Source organism: Homo sapiens, chromosome 21 (genome assembly GCF_000001405.40).
Source record: "Homo sapiens chromosome 21, GRCh38.p14 Primary Assembly".
Taxonomy (NCBI): Eukaryota; Metazoa; Chordata; class Mammalia; order Primates; family Hominidae; genus Homo; species Homo sapiens.
Window position 1 is genome coordinate 30,338,164 of NC_000021.9, and position 19,021 is coordinate 30,357,184.

Genomic DNA, 19,021 nt, shown 5'->3' on the forward strand with positions numbered 1-19,021 from the left:
AGCCCAATCTCATTCCACTCAGATATTGTTCTCTCCAGTGGACCAGAATGTGAGAGGACTTTGTGATCACATTCCTTCTCAGTGTTCATGCAAAGTACTGAGTGTGGCCATTGCCCAATAAATACTTGTCTTTTGCCTAACATTTCGTTTCCCTAATCTCCTTGAAAGCCAAGTTTAAATGCGTCCTTTTCCTGAAGTCTTCCCCAATCTTCCCATTTAGGAGTTATTTCTTCCTTTTCTGAATTACTAATGGATTTAATTCCTTTTTTCTATACTTGACAAAGTGGTGTGTTTACTTGTGTTTGTGCTTCTCAAAGGTTGATTATTTTCCTTTATAATGAACCTTCTTCAGATATTTTTCATCTTTATTCTGTGCTTTTTTTATTGACTGCAGACAGATGATCAGTTCCTATGTTTATCGCATTAGGACACCGTTCTTAGCATAGTTTCATACTCATGGCACAGAGCCAACCAGCACAATTTCTATAACATATTCTATAATATATTTGGCTCAGCTAATGACAATAAAATAGAAGTATAGTCTTAGTGCACTAACTAGACTCCCTTTCTAAGGTCTGAAGAAGCCCAAGAACATTCAGCAATTCTCAGTAATTCTTATGCAAACACTTCCTTGAAAGACTGAGGATATTATAAATTTAAAAGGGCACATCTGAATACTTTCAGCTTTATAGGCTGCACACTCATCTTGTATACAATACCTTTGTAACACACGCAAGTCATTTATAATTTTGAATAACCACACTTGTATGTTTAAAGATCTCAGTGTGCCCTCCACATGAACCCTACAGCCACCCATTTAATTCTTACGCATATATGTATTTATTATTGCACGGAGGCTTCGTTATTGCACAGAGGCTTCATTATAGCTTGTGACTTTCTTGCTTAAAGATACCAAATGGCTTCTCATTGTCCTTACAATAAGATCTTTTTCCTTTAGACTTCCCTACAACATCTTATAAGACCTGGCCATGGCCTTTCTTTCTTTCTTTCTTTCTTTTTCTTTTTCTTTTCTTTTTTTTTTTTTTTTTTTTTTTGACAGAATTTCACTCTTGTCGCCCAGGCTGGAGTGCAATGGCATGGTCTCAGGTCACTGCAACCTCCGCCTCCCGAGTTCAAGCAATTCTCCTGCCTCAGCCTCCTGATTAGCTGGGATTACATGCGCCCACCACCACGTCCAGCTAATTTTTGTATTTTTAATAGAGATGGGGGTTTCATCATGTTGGCCAGGCTGGTCTCGAACTCCTGACTTCAGGTGATCTTCCTGTCTTGGCCTCCCAAAGTGCTGGGATTAGAGGCGTGAGCAACCATGCCCGGCCCTATTTTTCTAAATCTAACTCTTGTCATGTCACTCTGCCCAACATGATTCATCCTCACAGGCCTCATGCAGCTCCTTGGCACACTAAACCTCTCCTTGCCTCCAAACTTTGCATACGCAGCTGCCTGTCTGTTTCACCCCTCCACTGCCTTCTCCCATTCTATCCATAGTTCTCATCTTTTGTGTCTTAGCTTAAGAGTTACTTCTTAGAATGTCTCTCTATCATCCTATATGAGAAAATTCCATTATCAGGGTCTCATATTTTTTCATTTTTAAAACTCATCTTAACTTATGATGATTTTATTTATTTCTCTTTTGTGCTTTTGCCACTAATTGTGAATTCCATGAAGAGGAGAAGCATGTGTATCTTCCTCACTTCCATAACCCCAACACTGAGCATGGTGTCTCATTGCCATATCATCAGATTCCCATAAATGTATCTTCAAAAATTCATACATAGAAGGTGCTAAGTAAAAATTTAATTATAACTAAACATCTGAAGAAATATAGTTTTGAAATTTTGACATTTCCAAGATTTCTAAGAATTGGCAAGAGTATTGAGCTCAAAGAAAAACAAATTTAAAAACTATGCCTATCTTTCAGCTACCCCTTTGTTTAATAAGAACAAAATCATTAAGAAAGCTACTTATTACCATGGCACAAACTTATTCAATTATTTCAAAATCATGTTTATTTGTAGGTTTTTTTTTTCTTTTTTTTTTTAGACGGAGTCTTGCTTTGTCACTCAGGCTGGAGTACAGTGGTGTGATCTTGGCTCACTGCAACCTCTGTCTCCTAGGTTCAAGCCATTCTCCTGCCTCAGCCTCCCAAGTAGCTAGGATTACAGGTGTGTACCACCACACCTGGCTAATTTTTGTATTTTTAGTAGAGACGGGATTTCACCATGTTGGCCAGGCTCATCTCGAACTCCTGACCTCAGGTGATCCCCCCCGCCATGGACTCCAAAAGTGCTGGGATTACAGGCGTGAGCCACTGTGCCTGGCCATGTAGGTATGTTTTTACCATGAAAATGGGAGCCAGTTCTCAATACCAACACAGAGTCCTCTTGCCAAATTGTATAGGTATAGGCAGGACATCATATAGGCTGGAATTTACAGAACTGTCTCCAGCCAGCAGCCTTCTTATTAATTTCACAATGTGCAGCCAATTACTGAGTACTTGGGCAGTCCCTTCAAATTTCATATGGTGATGTTAAGTCTGTCATTTGTGAATAAGGTCACTCCATGAGTTATTTTCTCTTTGGAATGAGGCATTTGCACATTTTATTTAAGTGAGAGCCAAATTAATAAGTGTTTCAGTATATAATTTTGATTCAGTGAGTAAACACAGATTTTGGTTGTTGCTGGATTTATAGAGGAAGTTACCTGGTTTATTACTATGGAATGACGTAGGCTAGGACAACTGGTCACCTTGGAATTGTTTACATGCAGCCTACTAAAAACTAAGTATTAGCTTTGTAAGCATTTGAAAAATTATGACTATGTAGTTTATCTGCTGGTATTCTTGAGAAATAGATAGAACTGGTTACCTAATTGCATACAGTAACTGGATACTCTTGCTACTAAAGGGGTGAACAATTCCCTGGTCTCTCCTGGACTTGAAATCATTCTCCTGGAATGACTGCAGCTGCAGTGGCACCTCCTAACCACCAGAGGGTGGAATATCAACATTTGGTATGAGGATGCAATTAAATATAAGAATTCTAGAGTGAGAATGCCAGGATTCTAAGCCAATATTTACAATCTCAAACTGTAACTTTGAACAGGTTCCATAAGTTTTCTATGTCATGGCTGTTTCATTAAAATAAATGAGATATTGTATATGGTACCAGATTGCCTGCCACATATTGAATGATAAATAATAACAATTATTACTGATCAGGTTAGGAATCTTCATGCAGACTAAGACGCTTCTCATTATAACATCAATCTAGGATTGATATAAAATTATAAGCAAAAACAAGCACAGTTTTTTTATGTTTATGATTATGTTGTTGATTTATAATTATGTGTTAATTTTCACATTCCATTCCTTTAAAGGTTGGATTATACTTATTCCCATTAATGATGGAACTTGTCTCCATCTCTCAAGAGCTCAGCATTTGGTAGTTGTAACATTGAATAATTTATATGTCTTTTATATTTGATCATATGGCTATACTAAACTTCTTAATCACTTGTTTAGAAACATTGAAGTGAAATGAAATAAAATAACCATTTTTTTTTTTTTTTAGAGGCAGGGTCTTACTCTGTAGCCCAGGTTGGAGTGCAGTGGCGTGATCACAATTTGCAACCTCAAACTCCTGGATTCAAGCAATCCTCCTACCTTGGTTTTCTGAATAGCTAGGACTACAGGCTCACACCACAACACTTGACTATTTTAAATTATTTTGTAGAGACAGGGGTTTCACTGTGCTGCCCAGGCTGGTTTTGAACCCCTGGCCTCAAGTGATCCTCCTGCCTCGCCCTCTCAAATTGCTGGGATTACAGGCATGAGCCACCATGCTTGGGCCTAGTCACTCTCTTCATCCCAGTGGTCCCACAATTTATTTACCTCATCCTTGTCTTAGTTTTATCTCATCAACCAAACTTATACCAAATGACATAAGTTAATTTTAATCCATTCCTCTTCTCCATTCACCAAATGCCGTAAGTTAATTTTAATCCATTCCTCATCTCCATTCAAGAAGTTTCATACAGAACCATTGCATAACAATGGAGGAATACTAGAAAAAGCATGAAGAGATGTGGCTTTCAGCCTTGGATCCATCAACTCACTGCATAAATTTGGACAAGTCACTCTACCTCTCTGGATATCTTTCAAGATAATGAGTTTAGATGAGAAGCTCTCTAAGGTCCTGTCACATCCTATAATTTTCGGTCAGAATCTTAATAACGTAGAATTAACATTACATGACATCTCGTCAAATCTGTCTATTGAATGAAATCTTCACTTACATTTAAGACCATCTGATCTTTATTAAGATTACATATAAAATTTTAACAGGACAGACCAAAGACTGAAGTCAGTACATTATTAGTTCCCACAGATGCTAGTCAATATCCACAACTGTAAAATTAGTAATCTTATGGTATTTAATCTTATAGTATTAATCTTATATTAATTCTTCTTATAGTATTAATCTTATAGTATTTGACAGCAACTCTTGAGAATAAATAAAAGTATATCTCTGCAGTCAAGTACACGTTAGTCTATCCCAAAAGAGGCTTTTTTGAGGGAAATGAATAACTTTTGTTAAACATAACATTCTATGAAATAAGTCAAGTACCATATAACCCTTCTCAGACACTGTAATGCATATAGAAAAAAAAATTTAAGTTGTAGAATACTTCAAAATTCTTATGTGGAACACAGAAATAGTATTTTGCCAGCTTTCTCTGTTTCTAATGAGAAATAGATATTTTATTATATGATAAAATAAATCACATGTGACATCATTTGTTCTCTGAGACTATCTCTAAATAATTTTGCTTCTTTGGCTAGTTCTTGGTCATTTACAATTCAATTATACGACACATTAATTCAAATAGCCAAACAAAAAACAAAAGAAGTAAAACATAAAAGTTGGAGGATTACACAGTGTCTATGCGGCTCTTAATAATAAGTAATTGGAGAAAAGAATGAACCATGGTGTTTTGACCATCTGAGCATTATAGTCCACATTTTCCGACTCTTTGTTCCATTATATCTTGGATATGAAAGCATTATAGTTTACTGTAGTAATTATACACTTGTTTTTTGCTTCTTTTCCCAGATGTAGTTGTTCTTGCCTTCCTCTGAGGTTATCTTTGAGTGAAGTTATTTTTCTATTTCTGGGTGATCCAGAAATGTGAATTGGTTTTTGATTTGTCTCACTTCTGTAGGCGCTGGAGTTGTGACAGTGTGTCATTGAGATATTGAGATTGTGCTAAATCAATTGTGATGATGATGATCAGAGGATTGTGACAACTAGCTTATCTAAAAAGAGTTCCACTAGCAAAAATGAATGCGAGTTTGATGTGTCATTGACATATCCTGGGACTGTCACCTGGCTCAATTCCACTTATTTATTTAATATTTATTTATCTTTTATTGAGTACAGGCATACCACATTTTATTGTGCTTTTCTTTGTTGCACTGTGCAGATATTGCATGTTTTACAAATTAAAGATTTGTGGCAACACTGAGTCAAGCAAGGCTATCGGCATCATTTTTCCAATAGTGTGTGCTCATTTCATGTCTCTGCCACATTTTGATAACTCTTGCGGTATTTCAGATTTTTTCATTATTATTTTATCTGTTATGGTGATCTGTGATCAGTGATGTTTAATGTTATTATTGTTAATTGTTTCGGGGCACCACGAACCACATCCACATAATGAAATGGGAAAAGTTCTTTTATTCTCCCTTGCAAGGCATGCAATGGGGTTGTGGCTCGCTTCTTTGGTGAGCCCCTGCTCAGACCTCTGGGGGAACAGGCAGATGGGCAGGCTGTGGGTCTCCCACCCTACAGCAGTGTCTAGGGTTGAATGTTTACACCTGTAGCCCCAGTGGGCATGAGTTACAGGGTGTTCTTTCAGTTTAGCCGTCCATAGGCAGCTTGTGTTAGCTCAATTACACCCTCTGCCTTATCACAAAGACAGGGGGCTTTCTGTATCCCAGAGTTTCTTGCCTTGGTATACCAGAAGAATCAGGGCACACATGGGCTTGGAGAATGAGTTGAGTGCAAGTTTTATTGGGTGGAAGTAGCTCTCAGCATATGGGGGAGCCAGAAGGGAGATGGAGTGGGAAGGTGGTTTTACCCTGGAGTTGGGCCCGTTCAGTGGCTGGGCTCTCCTCTAACTGCCCCGGCCAAACTTCGCATCATTCCGCTGGTTGACGGTCTGCAGGTCTGCCAGTGTCTGTCAGTGTGCTCTTACACAAGTGCATTCCTCTTGACGTCCAGCCACTTGTGTCTTCTGCCAGTCTGTTCCTCTTGACGTCCAGCTGCTTGTGTGCATGCCCACTAGGGTCTCGGGTTTTTCATAGGTACAGGATGGGGGCGTGGCAGGACAAGTGGTCTTGGGTAATGCAACATTTCGGCACAAAATAAGAAATGGCTGTCCTCACCTAGGTCCGTGGGCACAGGCCCAGGGGGTGGAGCCATAGCCAGGGACCCACCTTTCTCTACCCAGAACTTCCCTGCCCCCTCCCATATCAATAAGACAACAAACTTAATAAATCAAATGTTGTGTGTGTTACAACCGTTCCATCGAATGGTACACCCCTGTCTCTCTCCCTTTCTTCAGGCTTCCCTCTTCCCTGAGACACAACAATATTGCAATTAGTCCAATCAATAACCCTAAAATGGCCTCTGTGTGTTCAAGTGAGAGGAAGAGTCACATACCCTTATTTTAAATCAAAAGCTAAAAATGATTAAGCTTAGTGAGGAAGCCAATGTTGAAAGCTGAGATAGACTGAAAGCTAGGCCTCTTGCACCAAATAGCTAACTTGTGAATGCAAAGGAAAAGTCCTTAAAGGAAATTAAAAGTGCTAACCTATACTAACGAAAAAAATGATACTCTATATGAACACACAAATGATAAGAAAGCAAAACAAGCTCCTTGCTGATATGGAGAAAGTTTTAGCAGCCTGGATAGAAGATCAAACCAGCCACAACATTCCCTTAAGCCAAAACCTAATCCAGGGGGAGGCGCTAACTCTCTTCAATTGTATGAATACTGAGAGAGGTAAGGAAGCTTTAGAAGAAAAGTCAGAAGCTAGCAGAGGCTGATTCATGAGGTTTAAGGAAGGAAGCCATCTCTATAACATAAAAGTGCAAGGTAAAGCAGTAAGTGCTGATGGAGAAACTGCTGCAAGTTATCCAGAAGATCTAGCCAAGATCATTGAAGAAGGTGGCTACACAAAACAGCAGAATTTCAATGTAGATAAAAGAGCATTCTGTTGGAAGATAACATCATCTAGGACTTTCATAGTTAGAGAGAAGTCAATGCCTGGCTCCAAAGTTTCAAAGGACAGGCTGACTCTTTTTTATGGGCTAATGCAGCTGGTGACAAGTTGAAGCCAATGCTCATTTACCATTCTGAAAATCACAAGGCCCTTAAGTATTATTGTAAATCTATTCCACTTGTGCTCTGTAAAAGGAACAACAAAGCCTGGATGACAGCACATCTGTTTACAGCATGGTTTACTGAATATTTGAAGCCCATGGTTGAGACCTACTACTAAAGAAAGATTCCTTTCAAAATATTAGTGCTCGTTGACTATGCACCTAGTCACCCAAGAGCTTTGAAAGGGGCTGGAGGGAAGGCAGAAATGGGCTGCAAATGGGCTTTGCAATTATATTAAGGGGTCTTCATTGGGAAGGAGGATTGTTGAAGGTTTTAAATGAGTGTCTCATTTAAAAACATGTTATCTACGAGTAACAGAAATTGTAATTCAAAATGGCTTAAGCGATAAGAAATTTTATTGGCTTACATAAACCAGTGTCCAGAAGTGAGATGGTCCAGGTTCTGTCCTCCTGCATTTCTCTTGGTTCTGGCCTCTTTCATTTGATGGTTTAATTTTCAGGTTAGATCGGGTATGGTGGCTCACACCTGTAATCCCAGCACTTTGGGAGGCTGAGGCAGGCAGAACACTTGAGGTCAGGAGTTCGTCAACAGCCTGGCCAACATGGCAAAACCCCATCTCTACAAAAAATACAAAAACTAGCTGGGCGTGGTGGCATGCACCTGTAATCCCAGCTACTCAGGAGGCTGAGGCAGGAGAGAATCGTTGGAGGCAGGAGAGAATCACTTGGAACCAGGAGGAAGAGGTTATAGTGAGCTGAGATTGTGCCACTGCACTCCAGCCTGGGCAACAGAGGGAGACCCTGTCTCAAGAAAAAAAAAAAAAATTCAGGCCATATGCAAAACGGATGCAGCATTCCACATATAACAAAGTCCAGAGGTAGAGAGAATCGTTTTAAGAAATCCCAGAGACACTTTGGGAGGCCGAGGTGGGCAGATTGCGAGGTCAGGAGATCGAGACCATCCTGGCTAACACGGTGAAACCCCGTCTCTACTAAAAATACAAAAAATGAGCCAGGCATGGTGGCAGGCGCCTGTAGTCCCAGCTACTCGTGAGGCTGAGGCAGGAGAATGGCGTGAACCCAGAAGGCGGGGCTTGCAGTGAGCCGAGATTGCGCCACTGCACTCTAGTCTGGGTGACAGAGCAAGACTCCATCTCAGAAAAAAAAAAAAAAAAAGAAAGAAACCCCAGAGAAGGAACTTTACCAGAAGCATTGTTCCACATGGCTCCTTGTTTCTCATTGGCTTACCTCAGATCACATGCTCATTCCTGAGCCAATCACTTTCAGTAGGCATTGGGGCGCTCTAGAGTAGCCAAATTCAATCCTTAAGCCTAAGGCATAATCACGTTCATTTGCAGGACTATGTGTGGACGAGGAGGGATGCACAAACAAAATCCAATTTCCATAGAAAGAAGAGCGAGAAGGAAAACAGCTGTGAGAGCAGTGAACGATGAGCTACCCACCTCCATTTAGATATTTGAAAATGTATATGACTGTGTTCCACTTAATGTAAGAATATAATGGACTGTCTAGTTTTGCATCCAGATACAAGCCCAGGATATCAAGAGGTAAAGTCTTATCTCTCAGTCCGTGTCACCTATGCATGATACTGCCAGGTTTCAGACAGTTTTCAGGTGACTTCTATTATAACACCGGATGGCTTTATAGTGACCTAATGAAAGGAGGAGGGAGTGAACCATCAAATTAAAAAAAAAAAAACTCTTAGATATTATATTCTTCTTATTATAGTGGAATGCATACATCTTTAATTTCATGTATACCTAAACTATTTGTTTCATTACACTTGCTACTGAACTCAGTTAAAATCCTGACCTCAGAATTTCATTGTGGCTTATATATGTCTGGGAAGGAAGATTACAGGAAGGATTTTGATAATGTTCTCATAAAAACAGCCAGGCTAGTACTTGCTAAAACATCACTGCTGTCTCTGGATATTTTCTTCCTAGACTAGACCCATGAGTAGCTTAACCAAAGTGAAGTGTCCTGATTAGGCCTAAATGGCCATGAATAGAAAAACAGAGATAATCTCCTGTCCTATCTCTGAGTCTACTTGGCAGAAATTCCCAGGAACTAGATCTCTGTTGTTAGAAAACTCTGCCTATCAAGGAACCTACTCCTTTCCCTCAAAGTGAATATTTTATTTTTAGACAAAAAGTGGGGGTTTCAAATTCCCGACAGACATCTTATAAAGAAAATTAACACAAGATTTGTGATCTGATATCAGATTAAATGAGTTTATTTGAAGAAAAAGAAATCAACTCTTGCTCCATTTTTAACTAGAGAAGGAAGGGAAAATACAAGAAAACAGAAGAAAAAGAGATGAGTATTCTATGAGAAATGTTATTTTAATATTAATAAGTTTAAAACAATTATCTTTTCTGGATAGTAGAATATAGGTTCTAGCCAGATGATAGCTGAGATGGACTTTGAGAGAAATAATTGTAATGTGGAGGTTTGGAGCCCTTAGCAAGTTGATCGGTAGAAGCCAGATCCACAAGTTGGTCTGTAACAGGAAGACTGGAATGTCCTAAAGAGAACATATGTTGGGTGGCAGAATCCAGATCCATAGCCCAGGGAAGGGAAGCCACAGCCTCCATAACCCAGGGATCTGACGCCACTGGACCCACGGCCCACTGAGTAGCAGCTCCTAGATCCATAGCCCAGGGAGCGGCAGCTGCTGGATCCAAAGCCTAGAGACTCAGAGTAAGTCGACTGGCAGGGACTGCAGAGCACGGAGCTTCTGGGGCGGTAGCAGGAGGTCTGGCAGGGGCTGGACTCCACACAGGACATCTGGCAGCTAGGGGTTTCCCAGCAAGTCTCCTGAAAGCCCTTGCAGAGAGAGGAACCCAGCTGGCAGGTGCTGGGAGATCAAAGGTTCAGTGCTGTAGACCAGGTTGCTGGGGTACGAGGAGCCACCACGGGAGTAGCCTGAGTAGCACAGGTAGCCCTCACAGGAATGGGAGGAGAAGTTTCCACAGCAGCAGTTGTAGGACATGTTGACAGGAGATGTGAGTTCAGCTGAGCTGCATTGAGAAGATGCCCTGATGTCCCTGCCTGTGCCCAATGATCCAGTGATGTTTACACCCTCACACTGCTGGGCGTGATGCAGTATCCGGGAACCCCCCCATTCTTGTGAATGTGTTTTCATCAAATGACTAAGTAACCTAGGTTATAATTATAACTCAACACATTCATTTGTCTTTAACAGCAGTGTAATCATTCCAGTTTATAGAAGCCCATTGGCTTCTCTCTCTCTCTCTCTCTGTCTCTTTCTCTCTCTCTCTCTCTCTCTCTCTCTCTGCAGAAATAAGGTTTGGTTTGCTTTCAGAAACATTGGTGATGATACATACAGTGCCTCCCCACCCCTTTTACTGAGCTTGACTGTGGGTATTCTGAGCTTCAGCCTACAAATTCTTACCAGCAATGTACTCCCAACAGTAATCAGCAGCCACCCACCCCCCATTATTTACATATGTTTTATTAAGCATTAACTACATGCGCAACATTTAAAAGTGTGGTATGATTTAATCTTTGCAAATATCTTATGAGATACAAGTTGTCATAAACAATTTAGAAGTAAGGCCATGGAGGTTTGGAAAAGTTATGTAACATTCAGGTAATAAATCAAACAAATCATGGACCCCATGTCATCCCAGGTGTGTCTGTCTTTAAGGCTAGCACAAACCACAGAGCTATATAGACAATTTGTGAAGCTTGTAATTTCTGCTCCCAGAATCACATGGACAATTGAGTATGCAGGTGAAAAAAAAATTCCAAGGTGTTAATATTTGCATTTCATCTGATATATCTACTTGAGTATTCTTACCCCTTTTATGAATTCCCCAAATATAGCCAACTGAGGGGACAGCTTCTTAATTGATTTTGGTTATTTTTTTAGTATTCAGAGTTACTATGGAGATGCTTTGTTACAAATTATCTTCTATTTGCCCTCTCACTCAGTTTATCCTAGTTAAGCAACTCATGTTTTATCCACCATGGAGTTATTAGATTCTTTTTCAGTGTGAGGCAGAAAATTCTTTGGCAAACACAGACTTTCACTGGGACTAGTTGCGAAAAACTGATATGCCTTTAGTGAGTTGACTACCAATAAAATACATTTGCAGAAGCTTGAATTTTAATAGGGTGCCGACCTTTTGCCAACTCAGTTGGGAGTGAGAAATACGACACCTTCCAGAGTGATTCATTTCACTCCTTGCTGAGCTTCTCTTGTTCATCCTTCTAGGAAGACAAAGCAGCATAAAATTTACCATTATATTAAGTGGTTAAAATTATCTTTACCACTATAAAACATCAGTGGTATAAAGAAAAATCTTGGAATTAGAAATGTCTTTTTCCCCACTTGTTATCATATCCAACTTCTGCCTTCAAGCATCTTTTAGAAATTGGAAAGCAAAAAGCTATTTATGTAATTTGATCTTTTCAAACTGTTTCATAGATGATTGTTTTTTGTAATCTCCTGTAATATTTGCTTATCTGGCAACAATGGAATATTTTGTCCATTGTTTTGCTAACAAATTTCTACCAAATGCATTGCTCACATTGCACCAAATCCCTTTGTGAAAGATGTACCAAAATGGAGTCATTTATGTCAAACTCTAACAAAATGGGGTCAAGAGAGGCCACAAAAAAAATCCTCGTGCACACATGCCTGTAACAAGGGTTATCACAAGACCTTCTTCAAATTGCACTATTCCAGATAAATAGGTTCCAGGACAGTTACCTAGCAACAGCTGTCTTTACCAATAAACAAATGTCAACTCCTACAATGAGCTTTTGACCCGTGAACTTGTCTCAAAGCAGCTTACCTGGACCTCTCTTTGTATTTAAAAACTTCTCCTGTGCCCTAACCCCTTGGATGTGCCTATGATCCATCATCCACCATAGCATGCACATTCCTAGATTGCACTTCGCTGCTCTTTCCAATTAAAACTCATTTGTTCTGAAGAGCATATGTGAGTTTCTTTTTAGGTTGACACTTCTCATCCCTCAATGCCAAAATCAAACTCCTCCTATCAGATAGGTGTTCATCTCAACTAGACTTAGCTCTTCAGGAACAAAGATCTCAGTATTTTGTAATCTAGTTCACACACACACACACTGTGGAGGATTTGCAAGGGATGTACTTTGAAATGGCTCATGCAGGATGAATAATATTTCAGCTTGCAGGGAAATTACATATGTGAGAAGAACGAAGAACGCAATGCACAGAAGTTTTGTGGGGTGAGTGATGATGCTTAGTCTTCTTTGACCTAATTCCTGGCACATCATGGGTGCTCATAGATTATTTATATCAAATAATTAACTTTTATTTTACTTTCACTCAAGATAAATGTATGCATGTGAAAATAATGTTTCTGCTTTTAAAGTTACCTCTAATTAAAAGTGAAATGAATATTAAATCTATCTTTTATAATGAATATATCCCCAAGTTAATCATAACCAGTAAACCAAGGCCTGTTAAGATAGAGCACCTCTTAGAAGATGAACGGAGGATGGAAATTATGGTTTTAGTGCGTAGGGGAATATTCTGAACAATCTTTATAGTCCTTGTATGTGAATGTGCACTTGTTCTCTTCTCATTACACAAGGCAACAGGATCAAATAAACCATAATTGGTAAAGGTGCTCAGTTAGGTTAGCCAGAAGTCTGGGTACAACTTTACATGGCAGTAGTATTTTAATTATGGCTTCTTTCCATTATACTACAGATGCAAAGACCGTACACACTACCCAGGCATTTCTCTTAGCTCAAATTCTCCATCACAACCAGCTATATAGCAGCTTTCCTGAATCACTGTGGTATCAAAGTCTTTTAATTAGTTTTCCTCTATTCCTGTAGCCATATCAATGTTATTTAGGGGATGTCCAGCAGTCTATTATAGCCACTATTAATCTCAGCTATTTTATAATTTCTCAAACTCAATGTAATTTTTTAAAAGATAAAAAATAACTACAATTTTTTAAAATTAAAAATGTACGTAAGTTACTTTTGGAACTTGGAATACTCTTCTAAAAATAGATACCACTATAATTTTTTCAGAAAGTAAAATTCTTCATATATGTAACTTAAGGCAATGCAATAGTTTTATTTATTTATTTATTTATTTATTTATTTATTTATTTTTTAAACAGGGTCTCACTCCCATGGCCCAGGCTGAAGTGCAGTGGTGTGATCTTGGCTAACTGCAGCCTGGAGTTCACCAGCTCAAGAGATCCTCCCACCTCAGCTTCCCAAGTAACTGGTACTACAGGAAGGCACCACCAGGCCTGGCTTTTTGTTTTTTTAATTTTTAGTAGAGATGTGGTCTCTCTATGTTGCCCATGCTTGAGCTCAAATGCCTGGGCTCCCCACCTTAGCCTCCCATAGTTCTAGGATTACAGGCATGAGCCCTTGTGCCCGGCTTTATACAATAGTTTTAAATATAAAGAGCCACTTCTTTATTAAGTAAATTAGAAGACATCCCTCTAAGAATTTAAACACATTTAAATATATATTCACTATGGATGTGTGTATATCTATCTATCTATCTATGTATCTCCATAAATTTTGAGAAAGATCAAATATTATGGTTATATATTTACTGAATTAGGAAATTTTGCCGAAATACTTTGCATCACTCATGTCACCTTTTTATAAAGCTGTTTGGATCTGAAAGTGCTTTCGTGGATTTCACACTAATGCTTTATAGCATTGAAGGAGCTATAATCATAGAATAATAATTTGTCATCTGAGGAAATGATGTCATGCAGTCAAAAAGCTGCAAGCTTGGGATTGGAATGCATGTCCCTGGCTCTGAGTCCAATTCTTTCTTCCAGTAGGCTGGTGCAAAGGTAATTGTGATTTTTGACATTAAAAGTAATTGCAGAAACTGTAATTACTTTTGCACTTTACATGATGCAAATGCATGAACCTTAAGAGAAATTGTATATTCTCTTCACTTTGTATTTCCATAAACATGGCCCTCTAGCATGCATCTCATATTTGTACATATTATTGAATATGTCTCCTTTGAAATGTTGAATTTCCCTTACTTTGACTGTATCAATATGTTCATTTTAAAAATCAAAATCTCTTACAAATTTCAGTGCTTGAAGTGATCCTCAATATCTGTCCTCAATCCATATCCCAAGCAAAATTGCCTTTGGGGCCTTCCTAAATTATTTTTCTTTCTCTTTCTAATTGCTTCATTCTCTTTCATTGTAATGGTTCTTTTATTCTCAGCCTTATAACCATGCTCAATCTTCTTCAATCCAAAAATTTTAAATAGTGCCATTTTCTCTATGATTATATAGCTCTTCTTATTTTATATCAGAATTATCTAAAGAGGTATGGAATCAGCTTGTCAGCTACCTCACTTTTTATTCTCTTTTCAATAACTGATATGATTAGGCTTTGTGTCCCTGGCCAATTCTCATTTTGAATTGTAATTGCAATAATCCCCAAAATCCCCGTGTGTCAAGGGAATTACCAGGTGGAGGTAATTGAATCGTGGGGGCAGTTTCCCCCATGCTGTTCTCCTGATAGTGAGTGAGTTAGCACAAGATTTGATGGTTTTATAAGGGGCTCTTCCCCTTTCACTCAGCACTTCTCCTTCCTGCCGCTTTGTGAATAAGGTGCCTTGCTTCCCCTTCGCCTTCCACCATGATCGTAAGTTTCCTGAGGTCTCCTCAGCCATGCTGAAGTATGAGTCAATTAAATCTCTTTCCTTTATAAATTACCCAGTCTTGGACAGTTCTTTACAGCAGTATGAAAATGGACTAATACAATTACCATCTTGTTTCTGTCTGGTTTAAAACTCTTCTGGAATTGCTCTGACATGGTCAGCAGTAGCCTCAATGCTGCCATACGTGATGTACATTTTTAGGATTATCCCATGTGAACATTTAACCATATTCAACACAGGCGACTATGTCCTTAACCTTAAATCTTGTTCATCTATATACTTCCATGAGATTACAGTTCTAGTCTTCTATCTAACTTTCACCTAATTCTTTGTTACTATTAGTTGGATTTCTTTCATAATATTCCTTAAGACTTGGCGCTGATCCCTGGACATATTCTCTCTATAGAGGAGACATCTCCCTTCCATGGCTTCAAATACCATCCATATTCTGTGACACTGAAATATTCAAATTATCTTTCCAGTCTGTATAGTTTTTTCTTTTTTAATTCTAGACCTAAATACCCAAGTACTTCTTGCCATTCCACTTAAAGGTTTCATAAGGGTGTTGAACTTCTATGTGTATGACATTGAACTTTTGCTCTTCTCTTGTGAGGCAGAAACATTTTTTGTTTCCTATTAGTAAACTGCATTTCCACCTATCTAGTTGTTTAACTGAGACAATTTGGAATCCTCCTAACATACGCAATCTACCCTGAGGATTGGCCATTTTCTTTCCCAAATCTGTCTTACATTTATCCAGTCCTATTACTGCTTTCTGTGTAGTTCAGGATTTCTCACCCTTGGTACCAGGGGCATTTAGGGCTGGATAGTTTTTTGTTGTGGGGAGATATCCTGTGCATTGTAAGATAGTTGGCAGTATTCTTGGCGTCTACCCACTAGATGCCAGTAGCACAACTCCCCCTTAAAATTACAATTAAGAATGTCTCTGAAAATTGCCTAGGGGAGAGAGCAAAATTAGCCCTGGAGGAAAGGCATTGTCCTAGTCCAAGGTAGTCTCCTTTCTTGGTGGAACAACCAAAAATAATGTCCAAGATTCTCTGCCTCTCTTTTTAAAAAAAAAATTGTCTCCTCCAGTCTTTCTTCTACACTCCTGCCTGATTTTTTCTTTCATTCTTTCTTTTCTTTCTTTCTTTTCTTTCTTTCTTTTTCTTTCTTTCTTCCTTTTTCTTTCTTTTCTTTCCTTTCTCTCTCTCCTTCATTCTTCCTTTCTTCTTTCTTTCTTCCTTCCTTCCTTTCTTTCTTTTCCTTCCTTCCTTCTTTCCCCTTTCCTTTTTCCTTTACTGTTCCTATTCTTTTTCCTTTCCTTTTTCCTTTCCTTTCCTTTCCTTTCTCCTTTCTTTTCTTTGCCATTTTTCTGCCTGATCTGAAAACAAAAATCTGGTCATTTCACTTTCCTGATTACAACTTCCTGGTTGACTTACCGTACATTGAGGATGAAACAAATCCTCTATATGATCTGTAAAGCTGTGTAATTGAGTCCCTGCTCATGTCTCTGACTTCATCTTCATACAGTGTTCTTTGTCTTTCTCACAAACACACTGGTCTTTGTTCCACACTAAAGTATCTCAAGCTTTTTCCTAATCCAAGGACACACTCTTCTCTCTGCCTTGAATGTTTTTTCTTCATCTGGATGAAAATAATTAAGCCTTTTCTCACCTCAATACATTATATCTCAAGATAAAGTAGGTTCTCCTGTTGTGATTTGTAATTTATCTCTGTACTTAATTCTAATATTTAAAAAAATTGTTTATTTCTTAGACTGTCTTCTAGACTAGAGCAGTGCTACTAGACAAACCAGTCCATGACAGTTCACCAATTGGCCATAAGTTAAGTGTGTATATCAATATGCAAATGAATGCATGGCTACCTTCCTTAAGAAGTCTTGCATGATTAACAATTTCAGCTTAAGGAAATCATATGTCAAATATACCTGCTTTACCCTGTACCCTGATCTATGATCCACTCTTTGAATGACACATCTCTGAATTGTAATATCTAAAGTTGAGTTGGAGGCAAATACTATCTGTGTTCTTTCTTATTTGACATTAAATTCTCAGCTCAAGAGTAGTCAAAGTTGTTGTTCAATAAATACTTAATGATAAACTAGATAATTACTGGTTTTATCATTGCTGAATATCTCCTATCTTATCCTGTTCCTAGACCTCTAAACTCCTCTTGAATGCTTTACAACAGTAAACTCAGAGGAGTCTCAACTGCCCTCTTAATCAGTACCACCTGGCCCAGACTTGCTTCTATTCCTTTGCACCCTAACTTAGCTATAATAGACCATCTATAGTCTGAATACTAAATAAAGACTTGTTAAACTGAACCATCCTGTCCAATTTTTTTAATATAGCAAAGTGAAATTTGAAAGCTAGAGAGATTCATTTCAAGTCAATTCAGCAAGCATGCAGTGAAGTGTAGGCATTGTGGTGAGAGGTGAGAATAGGGAGGTGAGTGAGAGATAGCCCTATCCCTGAAGGAAGCATGTCTTAATCTTTCTCTGGAAAATGAGTGGAAGTATGTTAATAGAAGATAAGTGACTTTAGAGAAAGTGTGTCGTAGTCCATTAAATTCAATCACTTTTGCTGTTCTTTCAGACCCTGAAGCTACTAGTCAAAGCTAAATAGAGTCTTAGATCCTTTGCATTTACATATCCTGAATTATTTTGAATCTTGTTAGTGTTTTATGTAGAAAAATAGTAATTCTTGGATTAAAAATTATTGTAGGCTATACGATTTTTTCCCTGCTTGTAGAAAGTTGGCTGTCCTTGCTCTGACTTTACACACTGCTTCTGACAAAATCAACAGCCAAGCTATCCAAATAGTAATTCGTCATAGTAAAAATCATGCAACTTCAGTAAGCCAACAACTTAAAAAAGCTCAAGGAAAAACTGTTTATACTTGAATTCCTTAAAAGATTACTTTATTAAATAATAGCATTTCTGTCACATTGTAAACTAACGAGCACATGAAATACCCCCTAATTTCTATTACATATAATTTCAATTTTCAGACATAAATTTTTAGTGTAGTTTCTCAATTTTTTTTTTTTATCATATAATGGTGACAGAACCTGTCTCTCTAAGAGAAACGAACTAGTTTATGGTCAACCAGTTCGTAAAACGGCGTTTGTGGAGATGAATATGAGGGAAAGCAGCATTTCCTGGCAGTGTATGAAGAGGCATTAAGCCAATTTGTAGAAGCCATGCCTGTACATTGGTCTATAGCAAGTTGACAGGCTTTTCTTAGTAGAGAAGTAGTTTGGGTGGCAAGAAGCTGGGACCGTAATTCAAGCTTTGGGTACTACTGGGTCTATAACTTAAAGATTGGAATCCATTGAATTCATAGCCTAGAAAGCACCCTGTGGTAGAAAGCATGATGTATGTCTGCCGGAGGGCTTATAGTAGCTCATCTGAGAGTCTTACAGAGAGACCCGTCTTGGTGGAAACTAGAAAAGCAGAGGTCAGTGGGGTGGACCAAGTAGCTGGGGTAAGAAGAGACACAGGATTAGACCGAGTAGACCAAGAGTTCCCCAAGTGAGCAGGAAAAGAAGTTTCCAGTGTAGCAGCTTAATGTGTGACTGCTGTATCTGATTCACTTTTTATTAGTGTCAAAGGGTGTGTAAATGTCACCTTATTGCCTAGAAACTTATGTGCTCTGACCCTGTGGTTATGATGTTTTAGATGCCCAGCTTTACTATTCTTCTGCCTTACAATTTGACTAAGAATATCTCCTTAGTGTGTTGTCCAATTTCAGCTGAATAGATTAACACCATCATAAATATGCATACCTGTGTTTTATAACCAAAAGCCAGTTTACTGTCAGTCTTGGACTTCAGATGATTGTTGCATGGTCAAAGCAATTGG

General features: G+C 38.6%; 1 protein-coding gene and 1 pseudogene across 1 annotated transcript; both read right to left on the minus strand.

Moving 5' to 3' along the window:
• Positions 1–10,235: 10,235 nt before the first annotated feature.
• Positions 10,236–10,443, minus strand: KRTAP23-1 (keratin associated protein 23-1). The gene has a single exon (NM_181624.1). It carries the CDS (start codon positions 10,441–10,443, stop codon positions 10,246–10,248), a length of 198 nt encoding a protein of 65 aa, NP_853655.1. The 3' UTR covers positions 10,236–10,245.
• On the minus strand, positions 18,612–18,712 carry KRTAP13-6P (keratin associated protein 13-6, pseudogene; annotated as a pseudogene).

Excerpts from the sequence above, each read along its gene's own strand:
- KRTAP23-1 (NM_181624.1), bottom strand. The coding sequence starts at position 10,443 with ATGTCCTACAACTGCTGCTGTGGAAACTTCTCCTCCCATTCCTGTGAG.